The sequence below is a fragment of the Homo sapiens genome, chromosome 1 (assembly GCF_000001405.40).
Source record: "Homo sapiens chromosome 1, GRCh38.p14 Primary Assembly".
NCBI lineage: Eukaryota > Metazoa > Chordata > Mammalia > Primates > Hominidae > Homo > Homo sapiens.
In genome coordinates this window covers 169920577-169940994 of record NC_000001.11, presented here as the reverse complement: position 1 = coordinate 169940994, position 20418 = coordinate 169920577, and the positions used below count along the sequence as shown (strand labels likewise).

The following is a 20418-nucleotide window of genomic DNA, read 5'->3' as shown; positions in this document are numbered from 1 at the left end:
TGAAGTAAACATTGTTTTCTTCAGTTTTTGTTGTCTTTAAACACACACACACACACACACACACACACACACACACACACACATAATTCTTAAACAAGTGCAACTGCTCAAAAGAATTTGTTTTGGGGACATGAACAGTCCAGTAGAGTTTTAAATGAAACTGCTGGAAAGGAGTAGAAACAATGCTGACTTCAGTGACATACACAATCTTTATTCTAATTGTATTATTTTAAATGGTATTCTCTAAATCAGGGGTCCCCAACTCCCAGGCCAGTACCTGTCCATGGCCTGTTGGGAACTTGGCCACACAGCAGGAGGTGAGTAGCAGGCCAGCAAACCTTACTGCCTAAGCTCCACCTCCTGTTGCATGAGCAGCGGCATTAGATTCTTATAGGCGCACAAACCCTATTGTGAACTCTGCATGCTAGGGATCTATGTTGTGTGCTCCTTATGAGGATCTAACTAATGCTTGATGATCTGAGGTGGAACAGTTTCATCCCAAAATCGTCTCTCCTCCCCCATGTATGGAAAAATTCTTCCACACAACCAGTACCTGGTGCCAAAAAGGTTCGGGGCTGCTGCTCTAAATGGTTTCAGATCTATGTACAATATGAGATAGATGGACCAATAATGATGATGGCAATTATTGAAATATATTTAGTGAGTTCCAGGCAGTTTATGAATTGCTATTTATTACATCCCTTATCTAATTTACTCTTCACAACAGCTGAAGAAGGGAGACACTATTATTAAGAAAACTGAAGCATGTAGGTTTAAGCAACTTACCCCAGGTTATCTTGCCACCACTCAATCAATAAACTATTCTTACCTTTGCCCACCTTTCTTCTATTACAATGAAAGAAGTTTTTTCAAAATCCAATAAACCCATTTTTACTCTAGACCCCATTCTTGTCTTTTCAAGGACTTCTTTTATGTTGTCACTCTTTTCCCCTTTACTGGATCATTCCTGTCAACATATAAACATAAATCAGAATCTGCAAAGTTAAACTCTTTGGCCCCACATCATATTCCAACTGCTTCCTGTTTCTCAATTCCCTTTATCCAAAACTTCTCAAAAGACTTGCATGTGCTCTTCAACTTCCCCACTCTTGTCAAAATCACCAATAGTCTTCATATTGCCAAATCTAATGGACCATTCTCATCTTTACCTCTCAGCTGGTTTTGACACAGTTGACCAGGCCCTGCTTTTTGAAACTCCCTTCTTTCAGCTCTCAAGATACCCCATTTTTCTGATTTTCCTCCTAAGCCCTTTGTCATTTCTTCCCAATGTTCTTTGCTGGCCATTCCTTCTCTTTTCCACATTTAAATGCTGGTTACTTCAGGGCTATATCCCTGTTCTCTATCCATACCCTGTTTTGGGGGACCCTCTTTTCTAACTGCACCCACCACACCTAGGATTACATCCAGATCCATGGCTTTAAGTACCATTTGTAAACCTATATTTTTAGCTTAGACTTGTCCTCTCAGCACCATCCTTATTCCTTATGCTATCAAATTGAATGTTTAATAAAATTATCAAACTTAACTTTTGATTTCTCACATATAAACAGGTTCCTCCCTTAATCTTCTCGTCTCAGTATGTGTCACCACCATCCCACCTAGTAGTTCAAGCTTTAAACTTTGGAATCTTCCTTATTATCTCCCTTTTCTTCACCATTACCCTCTCTCTCCACTGCAAACCATCTGCATGCCCTGTTGTTTTCATTTCATTTCTGGAATAGATCTGAAATTTGGCTATTTATTTCCATTTTCACTGTTAGTACCCTATTCCATGCCACCATCATCTGCCACCTGAACCACTCAATAGCCTAATTAATTTTCCTGTTTCTGCACTTCCCTTCTGCTTCATTTTTTCCACAGTAGCCATAATGATCTTTTTCAAGTATGTCATATCACGTCTCTCACGTGCCTTCAATGGCTTCCCATACTCCTGTAATAAAATACAAATTTCTTACCATGTTCTATAAAGTCCTTCATTATTTGACACTTATCTACATCTCCAGCCTCATCAAATATTCCAGTTATAATTGCTTGTTAATTCTACCCACTCTGGACTCCCTTCTCTTCCCCAGACATTCACCAAGTTCTTTCGCACTTTGTCACCTTTGTGCTTAACTGGAATAGTCTTTTGACTTTTTAAATAACTGGCTTCTTCTTACCTTTCAAGTCTCAGTTCAAATATTCCTTCTTCAGAGAATCTTTTCCTAAGAGAATTATCAAAGAAGCTGCTTCTCCCTCATCTAACCTAGTAATTTAATTTTTGTTCACTTGTTTATTCTCCCTCCTACCACAAGAATACAGTCTCTAGATGGGCAAGAACTTTGACTGTCTTTTTCAAAGTTCTATCTACTGGCACCACTAGGTTCTCAATAGACGTTTGTTTAATAGAAGTTTTAAAGGTCAGAGCCAGTATTCAGACATAGATGTCTTACTCCATTTCCCATGCTGTTTCATTTTCAATGTGAACTTTTTTATAATTTCTTAATTTTAATTTTTACTATTTCAGTATCCTTTCAAATGTACAATGCATACCATCTATTAAATATATAATCAAATAGATGTGTATTATATATCCTGCTTATAGTATCATATGCTTTGTATTATAAAATTGTTGATAGGAGCCTATGCTATATGGGAAAATTTTTTAATAACCTAGGTAAGATAAAAACAGACCTTAAGTAGCTATATTTTACATAGATGAAGATGCTTGCCTTCATAATTAAGATCCAGTTAAGGGATTCGTAGTGTACTTGTATTATACTACTACAAGTCTAATTAAATATACTGAGAAACACCCATCTAAGCACAGTCTCTATCATAGAAAAATTTTATTTTATTTTCAAAAGCAACTCTTATAATGTCCCAATATTACAAGTGTGTAAAATCATATTTCTAGTCCATCTACTTTAATCTAGCCTAAAGAAACATTATAGGTTCACCATAACAGAGGAAGAAATAATATGATTAGTATTCAATATCTCATTAATAATAGCAATAACCAACTGACTAGAATTGCAAAATAATTATTTTCTTGGAGTTATATTTTTCATGGAGAAAGATCAGTAGAAAACATGCTTGGAAGTCACATAATTTCAGTTATAGTCAATTTCATTGCTGATTTGTTGTAAATTTTGTGTTGCACCTGGAGGAATGGCTCCATGTTTAAACATCAGGGAGTATTTGTATTAAGAATTTTTACTGCTGTATCTTTAGAGGATGGTGTAACTTTAGAAGATGGTTATGACTTTAGAGGATCTTAAAGTTGGTTGTATCTTTGGAGGATCTTAAAGTTGTATCTTTAGACTTGTATCTTAAAGTTATATCTTTAGTTGGTTGTATTTTTAGAGTATCTTTAGAGGATAATCAGAATATTTTAAAAATCTGTATTAGTTTTCATAGTCCAATAGCTTAAGTTCTGTAGCAACAAATACTACTCCATACTTAAAATGAATAGAGTTTCCTTGTTCATGTTTCTTTCCTATTACCAGGTTATAACTAATGGTCTGTTAGTAGTCAATAAATGATAAAAATAGCATATATACTGTTGGGATTTTTATGTTGTTATTGCTGCTCTTTCCAAAAGATACTTATAATTTTACTTAAAGTTTCTGTGATGACAGGTGAAATTAACTTTATAAAGCACAAAATATAGGATAAAATATAGAATCATTTAATGTTTGCTTTTAACACTTAAAATTTCCTTTATTCATAACCTTTTTAGTTGACAAGCACTTGGATGAGGTCTAGGGATATGGAGGTCGGTAAGAAATAATCTCATTCTCTTTAAGAGGCTTATATAGTTCAGGGTTAAAAATATAATTTTTTGAGATGAGTTAAAGCATTCTCTTTATTATTCTTTCAGCTTTCTGTTTTGAAAATATTTAAGGGTAATAGTATTATCAGGCTTATAAAAGTAATACTACATTGTCAGTATCTGGACATCAATGGTCTTTTACCTGTTTCTGCCCACTTTTATGTTACTCCAATATGTTGAGTAATATATATATATATAATATATATTCCTCTAAAAATTAAGGAGAACTCAGATGTTTAAGATGTTTATTCTAGTGTAAATAGAATAAATAATATTTGTCTATTGGAAATATTTCCAGCAGAATAAACATCTTAAACATTTCTGAATTCTCCTTAATTTTAAGAGGAAACAGAATTAATGATATTTAGAAAAGAATGCCACATTATCTTAAATAATACTCCCCCTCATTTTTTGTAAAGAGCATGCTATGTGGAGTGTGTCATTCATTGACTTACTTCTAGTACAAAAACACAGACCTTTAGTATCTTCTTATACACACACACAAAATTTAGAGAATGTGAATTTTCTTAGAAAAAAAGTAAGTAGGTTCAGATTTTATAGCACTCTAAGCTAAGCAGTACAATATTTGACAAAGAACCACATTATTTTTGAAATACAACTTTTTAAATTATATATGCTATTTCATAAAACATCGTACTTTGATGGTCTGACAATTCACTAGTGTTTAATTACTTCTTTAAAACAATAAGTAGTTTGGAAGGATTAGTCGAAACAGCAGCTTTTTGTGTCTTTGTAATAGAGATATTGCCTCTTTAGAAACACATCAGAGTCCTAAAAAATGTAATTTGAATAATTACAGGTTTGGGGAGAACCATTTTATCAAGGAGCTTTATATAAATGTTGATTTTCTATGACTCCCATCTCATGGGTGAAAGTTTTACTGAGTTAAAACTGACTTTTCATTTTACATAGAAATGTAAAATGTTCCAAGGGAACAAGAGACAAAACATTTTAGGCTTTGAACTTCTTTTAACACTGACATCATAGCTATTGATGAATTTTTAACACTTTTCATTGGAAGAGTTTTAAATTATAAAGGATTTGTTAAAATGCATCAGGTTTTCTAATTTTTAAAAAGTGGTCATTTGAAAATGGAGGCGATGTCTGGAGTTAAAGGATTAATTATGAGCTATAATCTTATAGAATTTACCTGTAGGAATTTTAGGCTAACACACAATCTTCCAATATTAGCCCAAATTAGTTGGTAATCTAACTGCTCAGTTCCTCCATGAATTAGATAGAACTCAGACCTGCTCCAAAGAGACAAGTATGGGACTCTGTCATATAATTTATTTTCAAATACTGCTTTGTTTTGTATTTAAACGTAATTATTAGTAATTTTCTAATCATTTTTCTAATATTAAAGTTAATTATGGGTATATGTAAAATCTGTGTGTATTTATCTTGATTCTTAAGTAAAAGCTACATATTTCTATGGTCTCATTTTAGAGTAGAAAGGCAGAATTAACAAATGCTGTCTTGCACCCTTTGAATAAGCTAAAGATTTTAAATAGTCTTTTGAATACACTTAAACAGGAACATAATTTCCTGAATATGTTCTCTTTTTATGAACATAAGTCAACATTATATTTTATGAAATACAATGTATCTTATATATATTAAGCCTGTTTTCTTTGTTTAGCTTTAGAAGAAACTATATCTAAAGTTGATACACCCTGCTTTTTCAGGGTTTTCCAGCCAAAAACAGCACCTTCCTACTGGGCTGTCAGAAACTAAAAGGCAAAGCGATCTTAAAAAGGAATCCAGATTTGTGTAGACAGTATCAAGTGGCTAATTTAGAGCCCCTCAAATATGAAAGGATGGGAGGAGGCTTCTATGAACATAGTTAGGCAAGTAAATTTTTAAAATGCAACTGTAGCTTAAAATTTACATCTTTTCAAATTTATACAAAAAAACCTATAAAGCTATATTGATATAGGTGCCCAAACTTCATGCTGAGATATTTTTTGAGGTGATAAATATGCAAGAGCTCTTAAAAGTCAAAAAATATTTTTATAAAACATTGTAAAATGCATTAATAAGTATTTTTAAAAAGCATTTTAAGAGTTGTAAAAAATCTCAAAAAAGTATTTTTAAAAAGCATTCAAATATTTTTTAAAGTATTTTTAAAAATGTTTTCAAAGCCTTCATATATATTAGGCTATTATAATTTACCTCATTCTTTTTATACACTATGGGGAAAAAGAAACTATTACAATTTTATGCAGTTGCATGTTACCTTATCCCCCAACAAACTCTGGGGAAGGGAGATACTGTTTGCCATCAGCAAGTAGATACCATAGTTATTTTAAATTGAATCAATTTGTCCCTGTTCCTGCATACTTGAAATAACAAATATAGATATACCTATATGTTCATTCAGAATACTGTCTAAAACCCAGATAATCTCAAAAATGTATGGTGCATTCCATCTCCTTAAAGAATTCTCATAGTTGCCCAGCTTTGCTTATAAGTGCCAGATTGTCAGGTTGGCACAAACCCAAAGACAACACACATCGCAGAATGAAAATACTCCACCCTAAACGTTTTCATGACCTGTGTGCACTTTTCTAAGAGAAGCCAACACTGGCAGTAAACCTGAGTATAGGAATGCGTACAATGTGGGAAGTGATGATTTGCATGAGATAACTAAAAACCTTACCCTTGATTTACTACTTTGAAAATAAACTCACTGAGTATCAAATAAGATGAAAAAGCATGTAACTAGAATCTGTCAGTAAGTTTCATCCCTAAAGGTGTTGTTATTTTCATCAATCATGACATAAAATCTAAAGGGTTTTGATTGAATAACCTTATTTATACAAACAGTTCAGTCTCACTACGGTAAAAGGAAAGAACGATTGGCCACGGCATTATTTTAGTGCAACAACAATTAGTATGTTTATGTGGAGGCATAAATCTCTATGAATTATGTAGGAGCCCTATAAAGGCAAAACAGAAAGCATGTGTATGAAGCATGCCAAGTATGATAGAGTATCCCTTAACTGTCTAGATCATTAGGCAGAAGCCAGAATTTCCTAAGCATTTCTAGGGAAGTATTCATCATTTTCATATGTCATAACAATAACACCACCAAATACATACTATATGCGGGTACTTTTCTTGGAAATACAATAATCTCAAGGCATAGAGATATTAAAAGATATAGCCATTATTCTTATTTTACAAAGAAAGAAGTCATGTCAAAGTTAGTTACAGATATAGACTGAAAAAAGTTACATCAGTAGAGACACAAATCCCATTCAGATATTCTAGTTTTGAAGTAATTGCACCCTACTAACTTTAAGAAAATTTAGGAGTTATTGATAAGTTCATAGTTTGTACTTAAGTTAGTTTGGGTGAATTTCATAAACTTAATTGCTAGTCCTTAAATTAAGAGGGGAAATGCTGATGTACATGAGTGACAAAGAAGAAAAAAGATAGTGTTTCCTTAGGCTGATTTAAGAATAATTTTAACTTAAAATATGACTCTTACAAGTCAGATAAACAATTGTCATATATTTCTACATTCCAGTCTACACTGAATTTGTTTATGTCAATGCAAAGTGTGACCAAAGGATGCTTAGCCCTATTCTTTGAAGATGATATAGAAATACCATGCTTCATCATCAAAAGACATGTAATCTTATAATCTATAGTCTTATACCTGAGCAGAAAATGAATTTACCTTTTTTAAAAAAGAAACCCATAATGTAACAGTTAAATATAGTCTTAAGGACCAAGAAAGCTTATAATAGTAGAGATTTACTTTAATTCCTGTTCTTCTAATACATTTCTGGTATATTATACAGTATTCTGAGATCCTAAATGTTCTAGAGGACATTAAATAACTGTGAAATATTTTTCTGACCTGTATTTATTACTGAAATTACTGAACTAATGGCTGCAAAACATCAAATAATACTGCCCACTATAAATCTTTTGAAATATCCATACAAAGCAAGGAAATGCCTTTATGTGTGTGTATATATTTGCATTTATAAGTTTAGAATCAAATTTTTTAAGTTATCATGCTTAGCTGTTTAAAAAGATGCACTTTTAATGTGTTTAAATATAATTTCTATTATCTATATGTTTGCCCTCAATTTTGCAAAAAGGTTAGTTTGATTTAGCTTTCCAGAAACATCTTTATCAGTCATTGCTCGATTTTTATCATCCAAATGTAATTTGACTATTATTTTAGACTAAAAAATATTGACACAAATGAATAAGTAGATTATGAAATAAATAGGAGATTTTATATTAAGCATCTTACATTTGATAAGATTTTCAGGATTTTTTTAAGACAAACATTTGTCTGCTTCCTTAAAGTGAAAAGTTTCTAAACTATTCCAAAATGTTCCCAAACTGAATGATTTGTTTAAGGACTTTGGAGACATGAGTTTTAACAAAAAAAAAAACTTAACATTAATTAAAAAAAAAAAAAAGTCTGGTGTTATGTCAGTAGTGTTTTTTATTCATATAAGAGAGACTAGTATTATGTCCGTGGGGGTAGCATGCATGTTAGATGGCTGTATTAACTCTTTGATTTTTGTTCATATGTCAGACTTGTCTGTTTTATAAAGAAAGATGGGGAGTTGATATAGCCCATTTTGTGTAGCACTTGTGATAATTTTATATTCCATTTTTTGAATTTGTTCATTTCAATAGTGCATTATCACTTTAAGATTCTGGTTGGCACTTAAACTACAGTAACTAAAGGTTATTTTTCATATTTTAACCAGTTTAGCCAGAGTTTTTAGTACTAGTATTAACTTTTGAATTATGTTTAAGGTCTTAGACTTTACAGCATGTTTAGTTTATTTTCATTTCTTATTAGTATTTTTCAGTACTTAATAGTCTCTTGCCCCCACCTCCAACAAGAACTTTCCTCTCTGTTCAACATCAGAAACATTTTCCTTTTGGCATGTGCTTTCTAGTTCCCCAAACAGTATAAGCAAATTGGAAAGTTTAGCTGTCATTCTTGGAAGGTTACAGATCACACTAGCAGCCTGAGTAATCCAAGAGGTTTTAAGTATCATAGCATTTAGTTTAAAGTGAAATTTGCTCTGACAGGGCTGGCAGACCAATAGGAAAAAGAAATATTTGTGCTTGGAGAAGTGCATATGTAGAGACCAAAAGTATAACTGATGGCTGGAAGTGATTTCAGTCTAAAAAAACAAATCATTAAGAGAGTGCATAGGGGTAAAATACACAGTTCATATTTTAAAGAGTCTCAAAATGAACCAGCAACTAAGGTTAGCATTACATAGTAATTAGTTGTGGTGTTCAGGCTTTAACTCACTCAGTACCAGACAGTATAGTTAAACTGTCGCTGAAAAAACATTGCTACTTACATGATATTCTCTAGTTTAAACCTATAGCAGTAATTTTTGTACCTTAAAAAACCAAGGTATTATGACAGATTATATAAATGTTGAACCAGTAACAGACAAACAATTATTTAAAGGACGTGCTAATGACTCAGTTTATTGACCTAGGGGTTATTTAAGCCGCTCAGCAAGTTCCCTTAACATTTGGTGGTATGAAATGAAGCATTGCTTGATAGTATAGAACTGCCAATTTCAAGAAGTCCTTGTGCTTAATGGAAGAAATGTAAGTTAAAGATGACTAGATGGCATACCTTCATTAAAATATTGCCAGAAAAAGCCAAAGACCTTTATAGGTTTGAGTAAATATTCATTTCAACTTGATAATCACATCTGACAACTTCCATTAGGTACCTATTAGAGCATTTTTTCTGTTAATAACTACAAATAAGGAAAAATAAAATATATTTTAATGGCTCCAGTTATTTCTTGCACGTCATTTTTCTCTTCAAGAAAGCCTATTATGAGCCAGAGGAATCTAAAATTTATATTTTTTTCCTTGAATATGCAGATAAATAATAATAAAATGGGTCAGACACGGTGGCTTACGCCTGTAATCTCAGCATTTTGGGAGGCTGAGGCAGGCGGATCACCTGAGTTCAGGAGTTCGAGACTAGCCTGGACAACGTGGCAAAACCCCATCTCTACTAAAAATACAAAAATTAGCCAGGCATTGTGGCACGGGCCTGTAATCCCAGCTACTTGGGAGGCTAAGGCAGGAGAGTCACTTGAACCCAGGAGGTGGAGGTTGCAGTGAGCCAGGATTGCACCATTGCGCTCTAGCCTGGGCAAGAAGAGTGAAACTCCACCTCAAAAAAAAAAAAAAAAAAAAAAGAAGTAATAATAAAATGAAAAGGACTTCCAGCAAGATGATAGACTGAGCTAATTTGGAAGGGACCACTCCTATGCAGATAATATGTAAATGGTGGACAAAAATGTAACAGAAATTTATATGACTAAGTTCATAAGAAAGATAGGGAATACCCCAATGACAAAAAAACACCAACCGGAATATTGAACTAGGTACGAGTTATTTGGTAAAGGAAGATGGAACTGAATTCTCTAAATAAAGCCTGGAATTTCAATTTTTTCTCATCAGTTGAAAAGAGGACTAAATGATGTTAATTCACCAGCCCAGAGAAGTGGCCAAAACCTGTCTGTGCTCAAAGACCCTAGGTAGGGGAAGATAGTCACCCATGTGAAAGAGAAGTCACAAGCTTGTTTCATGCACATGAGTGGGTTCAGAATTTACACCGTATACTTAATTCAGGGAACCTTAGTCAAGAAATTGCCATTTAGATTGTTTTAGGACAGCCATCTCAATGAAAACATAAAAAGGACCATCATGAAAGAGAATCATCAGAATGTAATGGAAATCCCATTTTATCAATGTTCAATATGCCATGGAGTTTAAATTTGATAAGCCTTGTTTTAAAGCTTTGTAAAGTACATGACAGTACACGACAAGCGCTCTAACAGCAAGAGTGTTAGGATGCCCAAGAATTAGAGTTAATAGAAGAATCTCAATTAGACTATATAAAATGTAATAAAAAAGTAAATTAATAAAAAGGAATAGAAAACTTAATGCAATGATATAGTATCAAAAAGTACCAAGTATAACATCTCCACATTAAAATATAATCACTAAAATATTACTCTGGAGGCAGGTTAATCAACAGATTGAGATGTATAAGAAAAGTATAACTTGAATGAAATTAGAGGAGAGTCAATGAAATGGAATTTCTTTACCATTTAGAATAAATCAGTGCAACTATTTTACACACGTTCCCTTCATCATTAGTACAAATTAGTTTTTATCTGAAGTATCTCAGTGTAGTAACTAAATTGAAAGGATTTTTCCCCAAGGTGCTGTTTTTCACCCTTAGAACTGACAGATGTCCTTCAAAAAATGTTTTTAATAAACTCCAGATGAGTATTTTAAATACAGCCTCCCACTACTCATATAATTTGCCCTTGATTTTTGAAAAAAAATACTAGTTTGAATTCATTAAGAATAAGATTCTTTAAGATGCTGTAGCCATTTAGTTTTATTGTAATAAAAGGAAAATTTATAATTATGCATATAAAAGATTAAGAATAAAACTAAATGGGAAATGACAACTAAACTTGATATATGCTGGTGAAACTCATTAGAAGACTGCTTAACCATGCTCTTGGATTTTATTTTCTCAACAATACAAAAGTTCAAGTCCAAAGAAATGAGTAATACCTTTGAGCAACTTAAAATATATATTTATTACATATAGATTTATAGAAACAAGATGCCATTAATATTGGTTCAATGAAAAATTTTAGAAGCTATGTTATAGTAATAGCACTTTAACATGCATGCATGTTACATTTTTCAGTGTTCAAGACAATTAGCATCTTTTCTTATAACCTCTTTTCTTATGATCTATTTTCTTAGGCACCCAACATTCACAAAACTTTTTTTGCATGTAACTGATAGGTATTTCTATTTAGCTGTAAATTATTTCATAATCATAAAACTGGACATTAATTATCTGCGACAGCAATGGATGCCACATTCTATGAATGTTAAATGTGCTGAGAAGTTTAAATTTAATAATCCTTGCTTTGAAATTTTGTAGAAGTACCTGATACTCAGTGGTAAGACAAGCTCTCCATCTAGTGGTTGGTCTATAAATGACAAACATTTAGATCTCGATGTAGTAGTACATCATTTTACTAGTGTTAGGTATTGTTTTATACTCGTTATTTCGTTCAACCTGCACATCTCTTCTTATTGTAAGAATTTCAAGGAGAAAATATTCTCTTTTCCAAGAACAGTTCAGCCCTGTAGAAGATAGGGGCAAGCTTCTTCTACAATCTGATTTCATCTCCATGGAATACCACAGCATCTCAGTTATTTGATGAAGCATATCCCCATACTAAGGGGGCAAAATTTGCTCCATTCCAATGAAATATAACCTTTAAAATTTCCAGCCAGTTTTCAAATTCTTCTCCTTTAGTCTCAGTCCCCAACTCGTAAAGGTATAACTTTAATTTTTTTTTTTTTTTTTTTTTTGGAGACAGGGTCTCACTCACTCTGTTGCCCAGGCTGGAGTGCAGTGGCGGTCATGGCTCACTGCAGCCTCAACCTCCTGGGCTCAAGTGATCCTCCTGCTTCAAACCCATGAGTAGCTGGGACCATGGGTGTGCACCACCATGCCTGCATAATTTTCTGTATTTTTGTAGAAATGAGGTTTTGCCATGTCTTGAACTCCTGGGCTCAGGCAACCCGCCTACCTCAGCCTCCCAAAGTGCTGGGATTTTAGGCATAAGCAACAGCATCTGGCCTAAAAAAACTATTTTAAAAGAGAAAAGATGGTCCGGGCACAGTGGCTCACGCCTGTAATCCCAGCACTTTGGGAGGCCAAAATGGGTGGATCATGAGGTCAGGAGTTCAAGACCAGCCTGGCCAAGATGCTGAAACCCAGTCTCTACTAAATATACAAAAATTAGCTGGGTGTGGTGGCACACACCTGTAATCCCAGCTAATTTGGAGGCTGAGGCAGGAGAATTGCTTGAACCTGGGTGGCAGAGGTTGCAGTGAGCCAAGATCACGCCACTGCACTCCAGCCTGGGCAACAGAGCAAGACTCCATCTCAAAGAAAAAAAAAAGAGAAAAGATAACATTGTTGTGAATTGTAGCATATTTGATCATTGTTATTTCTGCCAGTACCCCTCTGTAGGTTCTCATTACTTCACATTTGGACAGCTGTAATAGGTTCTTCAGTGTTCATGATTTTGCCTCTCAACCCCCTTTCCTACTACAATTATCTTCCTAAAACATAGAATTTGGTCATTCTCTTTCTTAGCAACCATTGACAACTCTCCAGTAGCCACCAGTTCTTAGCAGGTTTATGAAAAGCTTCAATATCTAGTCCTAACCTCCCTTTCTAGCCTTATCTCCTGCCATTTGCTTATATCATAAATCTAAAACTTTAACCATAACAAACCATTTGCTCTTCGTCAGCCACTCCTCTCTGTTGCTCAGGCTGCTCCACCATCAGGAATTCTGTCTCTCTTTGCCTGTGAGATCTTACTTGACTTTTAAGACTAATTCATTCATGAATTCATGTAATTTTTGAATGCCCACTCCATGTCAGATACAATACTAGAGCCTAGGGATATAGCAATGGCCAAAACACTCCTTGCCCTCCATGGTGTTTATTTTCTAATGGGAAAGAAATACAATAACAAAATATGTCAGGAGGTAACAGATGCATTAAAATCAAAGTATTTTGTATGAAGACTTTCTAGCTGCCAAGATTGTCCTGTAGCAATTTGTACATGTCTCTAATATACTCTTATATTAAATATTTATCCCCCCTCTTTTCTTCTGTAGCAATTTATACATATGCTACAGTAGGATGACATCAGGTTATTATCAGAATATTTCTTCCATGTTAGGTGCCTCCAATCCTTATAGTCAAGGACTATGTCGTATTTGTTATTGCCTTCCCAGCACCATGTTTTTTCCTTGGCTTCAAAAACTATACTTAACCACATTGTAGGAACTCAATAAATGTTTCTACTATTTGGATAGGTGGATGGATGGGCAAATGGTATATAGAGTCACTATTACAATAGACCTAAATTTCCCATGACAAATCATACTTAAGCTGAAATTACCCTGATGATCAATTAACAATCTACTTAGAAAGATAAACATACTGATTTTGATTCTATAATCAATATATTAGAGAAATTGATAAAAAGAATGAACTATTCCAAAAAATTATGAAGAAGTAATTTCATACAGTTTTATAATATCCTGGAAAGTTTCTTCCTATAACAGCTCATGTTAAATTCTTTCACTTGACAATTCCAAAAGAATTCCAGCCTTCAATATTACCTGATGGATCACAAAGACTGGTTTGTTAAGAAAAATCACTGCTGCCTATTTATAAATATGTAGTCATAAATGATTTTGTCTTGGGAAGAATAGAATTCCTAAAGACAGACTCAGACTAAAAAGATGAAATTTAGCATGGTAGTTATAAGTAAAATTTTGAATGTGTGTGTGTGTGTGTGTGTGTACACACACAACTGTACATATATACAGAAAAAACTTAATGTTACATGTAACTATAACTCAATATTATATAACTATATATAACTCAATGTTATATATATATACACATATATACACAGTCAATTATAAGCAGTCAATATTAGGCAACTTTGTGATAATGTCTTCTTAAAATTTTTGTTTAAGATTAATACAGTTTTAGCCTACAATAGTGTAAAGTCAGATATAGGATCTTTTATTCTGTACTGGTTTCAGATCACATCATAAGTATCACGTTAATTTTAGCTTCTTCATTTGAAGACAAACACTAGAAAATGGAAGTGGTTTTAGAGAGCAACTGAGATGGTAAAGATTAGAGACCATGTAATGAGGCTTGAATAAACAAGGGTTGTGAAGCAGTCATATCAAAGAAGAATTGGACTCCTTGTGTGGTTTCAGAGGGTAATTCTAAGACTAGTTGAACTGGATTTTAGAGCTGTGTAATAAAGAACTTTCCAACAGTTTTACATATCCATAAATGGAATGAACTGCCTTGACAAAGTAGTGAGCACTTCCTTCTGGAGGTGTTCAGAAGAGAGCTGGATAGACCCTGTCAAGGATGTTGTGAATAAAAGTGTAGCCAATATTATTTCTTAAAATGTTCCCAAGTCAAAGACTTCCATGAGCCTTTGAAAAAATAATTTGGCCTGCATTTATTCTTTTTGTAGCCATTTATTAATAAATTCATTACTTGCTCTACATTGATATTGCTGACCTAGGAATTTAAAAGAAGAAAAAGGCTTGTGTTGCTTTTATCTCGTTTTAATAAAATAATGATACTTTTCACTTATGCAGCACTTTTCATCCAAGGATTTCAAAGTGCTTTACAAATACGCACTAATTAAGCCTCACAAACAGCCAGAGGTAGGTGGTTTTCTTCTCTTTCTACAGGAATGTCAACTCTGGCCCAGAAATTTAATAAGAGCCTGTGAGTGCCTGAGATTCTTTACTGGCTGCCATTCCCTTGTAATGTGCTGCATGTGAAGCATCACTTGTCATTTCCAGATTTCTTTGTTCCTGCTCTGAATCATATCAAGTTTAGAATTCTAATGATTGCTATTACAAATGTGTTTGAAGTCTTGCAAATATTAGCAAAAATTCAGTCTTCTGCTTGCTGAATGCTAATTAGATTTCTAAATTTGTTTATTTAAAAAAACACACTCTAGATATGGTTTTCTATTTGTTGTTGGGTTTTAAATATAATTTTTCTCTTTTAAAGAATTTGTCATTTTTCTTTCTAGGTACCCAGAAATAATTGTTCTTGGGAGATAAAACTTAATGGCAGATTGACTTTTTGGCCTTATCATTCCTAGTTATCTTTTCACAATAAACAATAACCATTTTCTTTGGACCAGAATTATGTATTTTCAGGAAGAGACACTATTTTGGTGATTCAAAGGTCCAAAATATGTTATCTGAATACGAAGGAAAAAGGTGAAATGGCACTAAATAAGTAATCCTATAAAGAAAAAGTACTATAATAGTTGCATATACTAGTCTAGAGGGATACACCACATTTTATGTGGGTTAGGAGTAGCAAGAAGAAACTATGTACATACAGAGACATGCACCCTACAAGATTGGATTGAATTCCAGTATACTTATAAATAGCCACATATTCAAACTATTATCTGAAGCAAAATGGCCACACAAGGCAAGAGCAGATGTGGCATGTCACAGCTTACTTTTCCTTGCTTCTCAGGGCCCCTAGTGAGGGCATACAAATTCCTGTGATACACACTATTGAAGTCAAGTCTTTCCAGATCAGGAAAGCACAATTTTTCCTGCAACGTTGCCTTTTTATATTCATAGTTTCTATCTCTTTCAAGAACTTACATGAAGAATCTATCTGCTTCTGTTTAAAGGAAAACTCTCCGGGTTTTGAACTAAACTCAGCATTAGCAAGGCTGTATCCTTTTCCCAAGGAAAAAAGTAAAGTGTCTACATATTCCAAAAGAATGTCTCCAGGTTTTAGCATCCTAGAAAGCCTGATTTCCCCCACTATATTAGAAAGAAGCAAATGAGAGTTTAAAGAAACAAACTGTTATGTTTCACAGTGAATTTAATTAAAAATGTATGTAGATATAGTTGATTTTTCATAATACAAAAGGACCTAGGACCTATGTCAAAGTACTCTCCAAACTGATCATAAATGTTTTAAATATTTTTTGCTTTAAACAGCAAGTTCATCTGTGATACATAATGGAGAATTCCAGAAAAGATCATTTTAGAGTTTGGTTTCAAATTTTATTCCTTTTTTCCAAAACGATATTTGTATATAGAAATTCGAAAAATTAAATGATATCCTCTACACTGTAATACACACAGATGTCTCTGGGTGAACTGCTGACTACATAAATAGATCTTTACCATAGTAACCTAAAGACCATACTGTTCAAGACCAGAGATTTACAGGTTCAGAAACTCAGACTCATCAGTGCTCAAGGGCCAGTCTTTCACTGACTTGGGACTGCAGGTTTTTATCAACAATGTGCATGACATATTTTAAAAAGAAAAATCCATTTGTTAATGTACAATGAAAGTTATAACCATCAGGTGGATTAGGTAATATCTAAGTTTATTATTTAACCTGTTGGCAAATTACATGGGAAATTACAGTGATCAATAGTTTGCCTATTAGTCGTAGAAATAAAAAAAAGGGGGAGAATTTTGCAACTTGAATGTAGAATGGCCTCAGACTCTGAGAATGTTAAATTCCCTTCCTGATTGAGGACCAAACTGCAAAAAGGCCAGATATTCCTTATGGTGTTATAGCTTACCAGATCACCACGCAATTGCCTAGGTTGCTACAACCAGCGTTGTAGCTGAGACGCTCCTTGTTCTGTGCCAATGACTGGTGAACTCCCTTCTGAGGACCATCTTCTTTTAGGTAGAATTACAGTGATATTGCTAACAAGTCGTCTGTGAGATACTCTGAAGGTGCCTTTGCATGTTTCCTCACTGTCCCACATATGCCTCTTGTTTTCATATTACTGAAATAGATCTTGCCATAGCCCCTAGATTGAGAAACAAGCATAAGATTAACTTGAGTTTAACCTAAGTCTACTGCTATTTGGCCTCAGAGGAGTTGCTAAAAAAGATAAGGACTGGTTGAAGACAGGTAATAAGCAAAAGATGAAGAAGGAACAAGTTGAAATCCAAGCTATGTAATCAACAGTTATATAATTGAGAGTTCTTTAGATACATGATTACTTGTTAGCCTTAGTGCTTGCAGAGAACAGTTTTCAATAACTTCTCTAATTTTAAGCTGATACCAGTGTCTCTTAGTTCACTGATTCCACTAATTTCTGAAGCATCTTTTAAGCTACCTCTTGATTTCCTCATCACAAAATTTAGTCTCTCTTCCCATGAGATCAAAGTTAGAAAAAGTGCCTATATTTTTACCATTTCAAAATAAAATGTAGACTTAAAAATTTCAACCAACTTTGAGAAACTATAGACAGAGTTTTTATATAGAAGGACCCCAAAACAACAAATTTTGTCCAGAATCGCTCAGTACAAATGCTAACCTGAAACTTGTATTTCAGAACTTCCATTCTCCTAAAGGGCAGAGTCACTGGACCAGTATGTGTTATATGTATTTTGGCTCTTTACATTTACTCTTTAGTTCCATCTTAATACACACAAGCACGCGTGCACACAAACACACACACGCATTCACACATTTATTTAAAACCTTAACATTTTAATAGTTACTTCTAAAGTGTGTCAACTTAATCTCACTCTGAGTGTGACAGGGAGTTAGTGCCTATGTGAATATATTTTTTCATCACATTCAGTTTTTGCTATTGAGGGAAAATTATCTTTCCATCTCATGTAGTGCAAACTTAAATCTTAAATCATTTAAATATGTTTTATTTTTCCAAAGCTTACATTTCTGCATTACAAATGGTGTCCATTGATTGGAAGTCAAGCTCACTAGCATTCACTGCATGAGCTATGCATGAGCATGTTAAGGCCACCATGTTCTGCCTGGCAAAATAAATACTTTATCATTTTCCTAAGTGTTGGATAATTCCCTGACCTTTAAAAAGGACTTTGGAGAACAGATTTTCCTCTAAATAATGTATTAATAGACCAACAAGTAATTTTTTTAAAATAATAATCATGAAGTTTAACATACTTCAAGCTATCTTTACAACTCTGAAGGTTATCTTTGGGTTTCTGTTATTCCCATAGAATAAGTTGAACCAAAATTTGTAATTGTCTTGCTGTCACTCAAAAGAAATAGATATGTTTTGTAATTGTTTGCATTGAGGAATCAGAGGAAGGATTTGCAGATCAAATCTGACTAATTTTCAAATTTTGTCAAATTCCTTATCTTGTTCTTTTAATCATAGGCTTATGGTATGATTTGGCCCTGCATGAGAGTTCACTGATATAACTCAAACACATGTTTTTACTAAAAGTGGAATTAGTCCTGTATCTTCATATGAAAAGACATTATAAACAGCAAAACTCACTTTACTACAGTTTTATTTTTATCATTCCCTAGCAATATATTACTGATCATTGCTAGCATGTAAAATCTTTTCATATTTTTGCTTAAGAGCCATATATAAGTAATTTATTAAATAAAACTTTTCTGATTTGATTCTTCCACTTTGTTTCAAATAGTACCTACTGACAGAGGTTTCCCATACTTTTAACACACATTGTTAGAAGTATTTTATTATATACACTTTTAATGGCTCTATTAACCTTAAAAAAAAAAGTTAATGATATCCACCTAAATCACTATCCCTGCTAGGAAGAGAATCTTGGTGGTATAAAAATGTAGGCCTCTTAATCTGCATTGTGGATGTGTGATGAAAAACATAGCTTATCATTCTTTTTTTTCTTTTTTAGCCTTGGAATGGATGGCTTTGGCCAACCAGTTGGCATTCTTGGACGCCCTGCCACAGCATATGGATTCCGCCCTGATGAACCTTACTACTATGGCTATGGATCTTGATAAAGTATCTGTTTCCATGTGTAATCTCAGCTTAGAAGAAATCTGTGTGGGTTGGGTTAATTTTGGATCTTTGCCTAATAATGCATGTTGATGTTATTGTGGGTCTGTGTTTGTTTTTATTTTTATATGTTGTTAGCTGCAGATTAACCCCAGCCCCTCTGTCTTCTGTTAAGTACAGTTGATACTGACATTGTTCACTCATCAAACCACATCTTGATGCTAAGTAACATTTCCCATGAGCCACAAAACTGAATGCTGAAAAGCTACTAGACTGGAAAACAAACACTGCATTATGTATGTTAAGTGACTAATTTAATTTCAATTAAAAAGCGTAAAGTGAAAATGAATAAGTGAAAGTCATGTGTTTATATTTCACACATTTCACTACGAATTACATGTTAATATAGGGTGCGCGTGAATTTTATTTTTTCTCCTTTTTTTCTGCTTGTAAACTCTTGAGTAATTTGTATAATATATGCTACCTTTAAAATTTATAAAAAGAACATCACCTTCATATTCCATGCCATGTGCCTGAAAGTTTCCTTCCCAAAGTTTATTAACTATGAGTTTTCAATTAATAATGGAACATATGTCATAAGTTATTTATGGTTATAGTCTCTTTGGTGGTTTTAATTCATATCTTCCTAGTTGTAATATAGAAATCCTAGGACAAGTAGTATACAAGACAAGCAGTGATACAAGATTAGCATTTGGCTTTTAACTTTTATTCTTCATAAATTTAGTATCTAAAGCATGGGAAAGCTAATTAAAAGTCGCATTAAGGAAAACTAAGGAACAGAATATTTCACTCACTTGGGTACCCAGTTCCCAATTGTTCACTTGTTCTTATAACGTACATTTAGATAGCAAGAAATGGAGAGACATTATATAATTCATAATGGGTTTTGAAAATAGTTCAGTGTTTTCATATTAAAAAAATGTTCAATTCTACTTGAAAAGCTGAGCAAAGAAATAACCATAATAATAACTATAATCAGAGATAGTTCCATGATCACCTGCTATGGGAGAAAATATGAAGCTTCAAAGGGAATACATAGATCAAAGATAAGACTTCTGTTCTTGAATTTAAAATCTCATT

The 20418-nt window shown here is 33.4% G+C and overlaps 1 protein-coding gene across 9 annotated transcripts in view; it reads left to right on the top strand.

Annotated features, from left to right (window-relative positions):
• The window catches only part of KIFAP3 (kinesin associated protein 3), a 163856-nt gene extending 144190 nt beyond the window's left edge, over positions 1-19666 (top strand). For 5 of the 9 annotated variants that reach the window (XM_024454186.2, NM_001204516.2, NM_014970.4 and 2 more), the window contains one exon: positions 19214-19666. In XM_024454186.2, the coding sequence (XP_024309954.1) occupies positions 19214-19319 (106 nt within the window). In that variant the 3' untranslated portion in view covers positions 19320-19666. Of the gene's footprint in view, positions 1-15139; positions 15215-17892; positions 17930-19213 lie in introns of those variants that run through there. The other 4 variants (XM_047449531.1, XM_047449532.1, NM_001375830.1 and 1 more) reach the window with 3 other exon arrangements.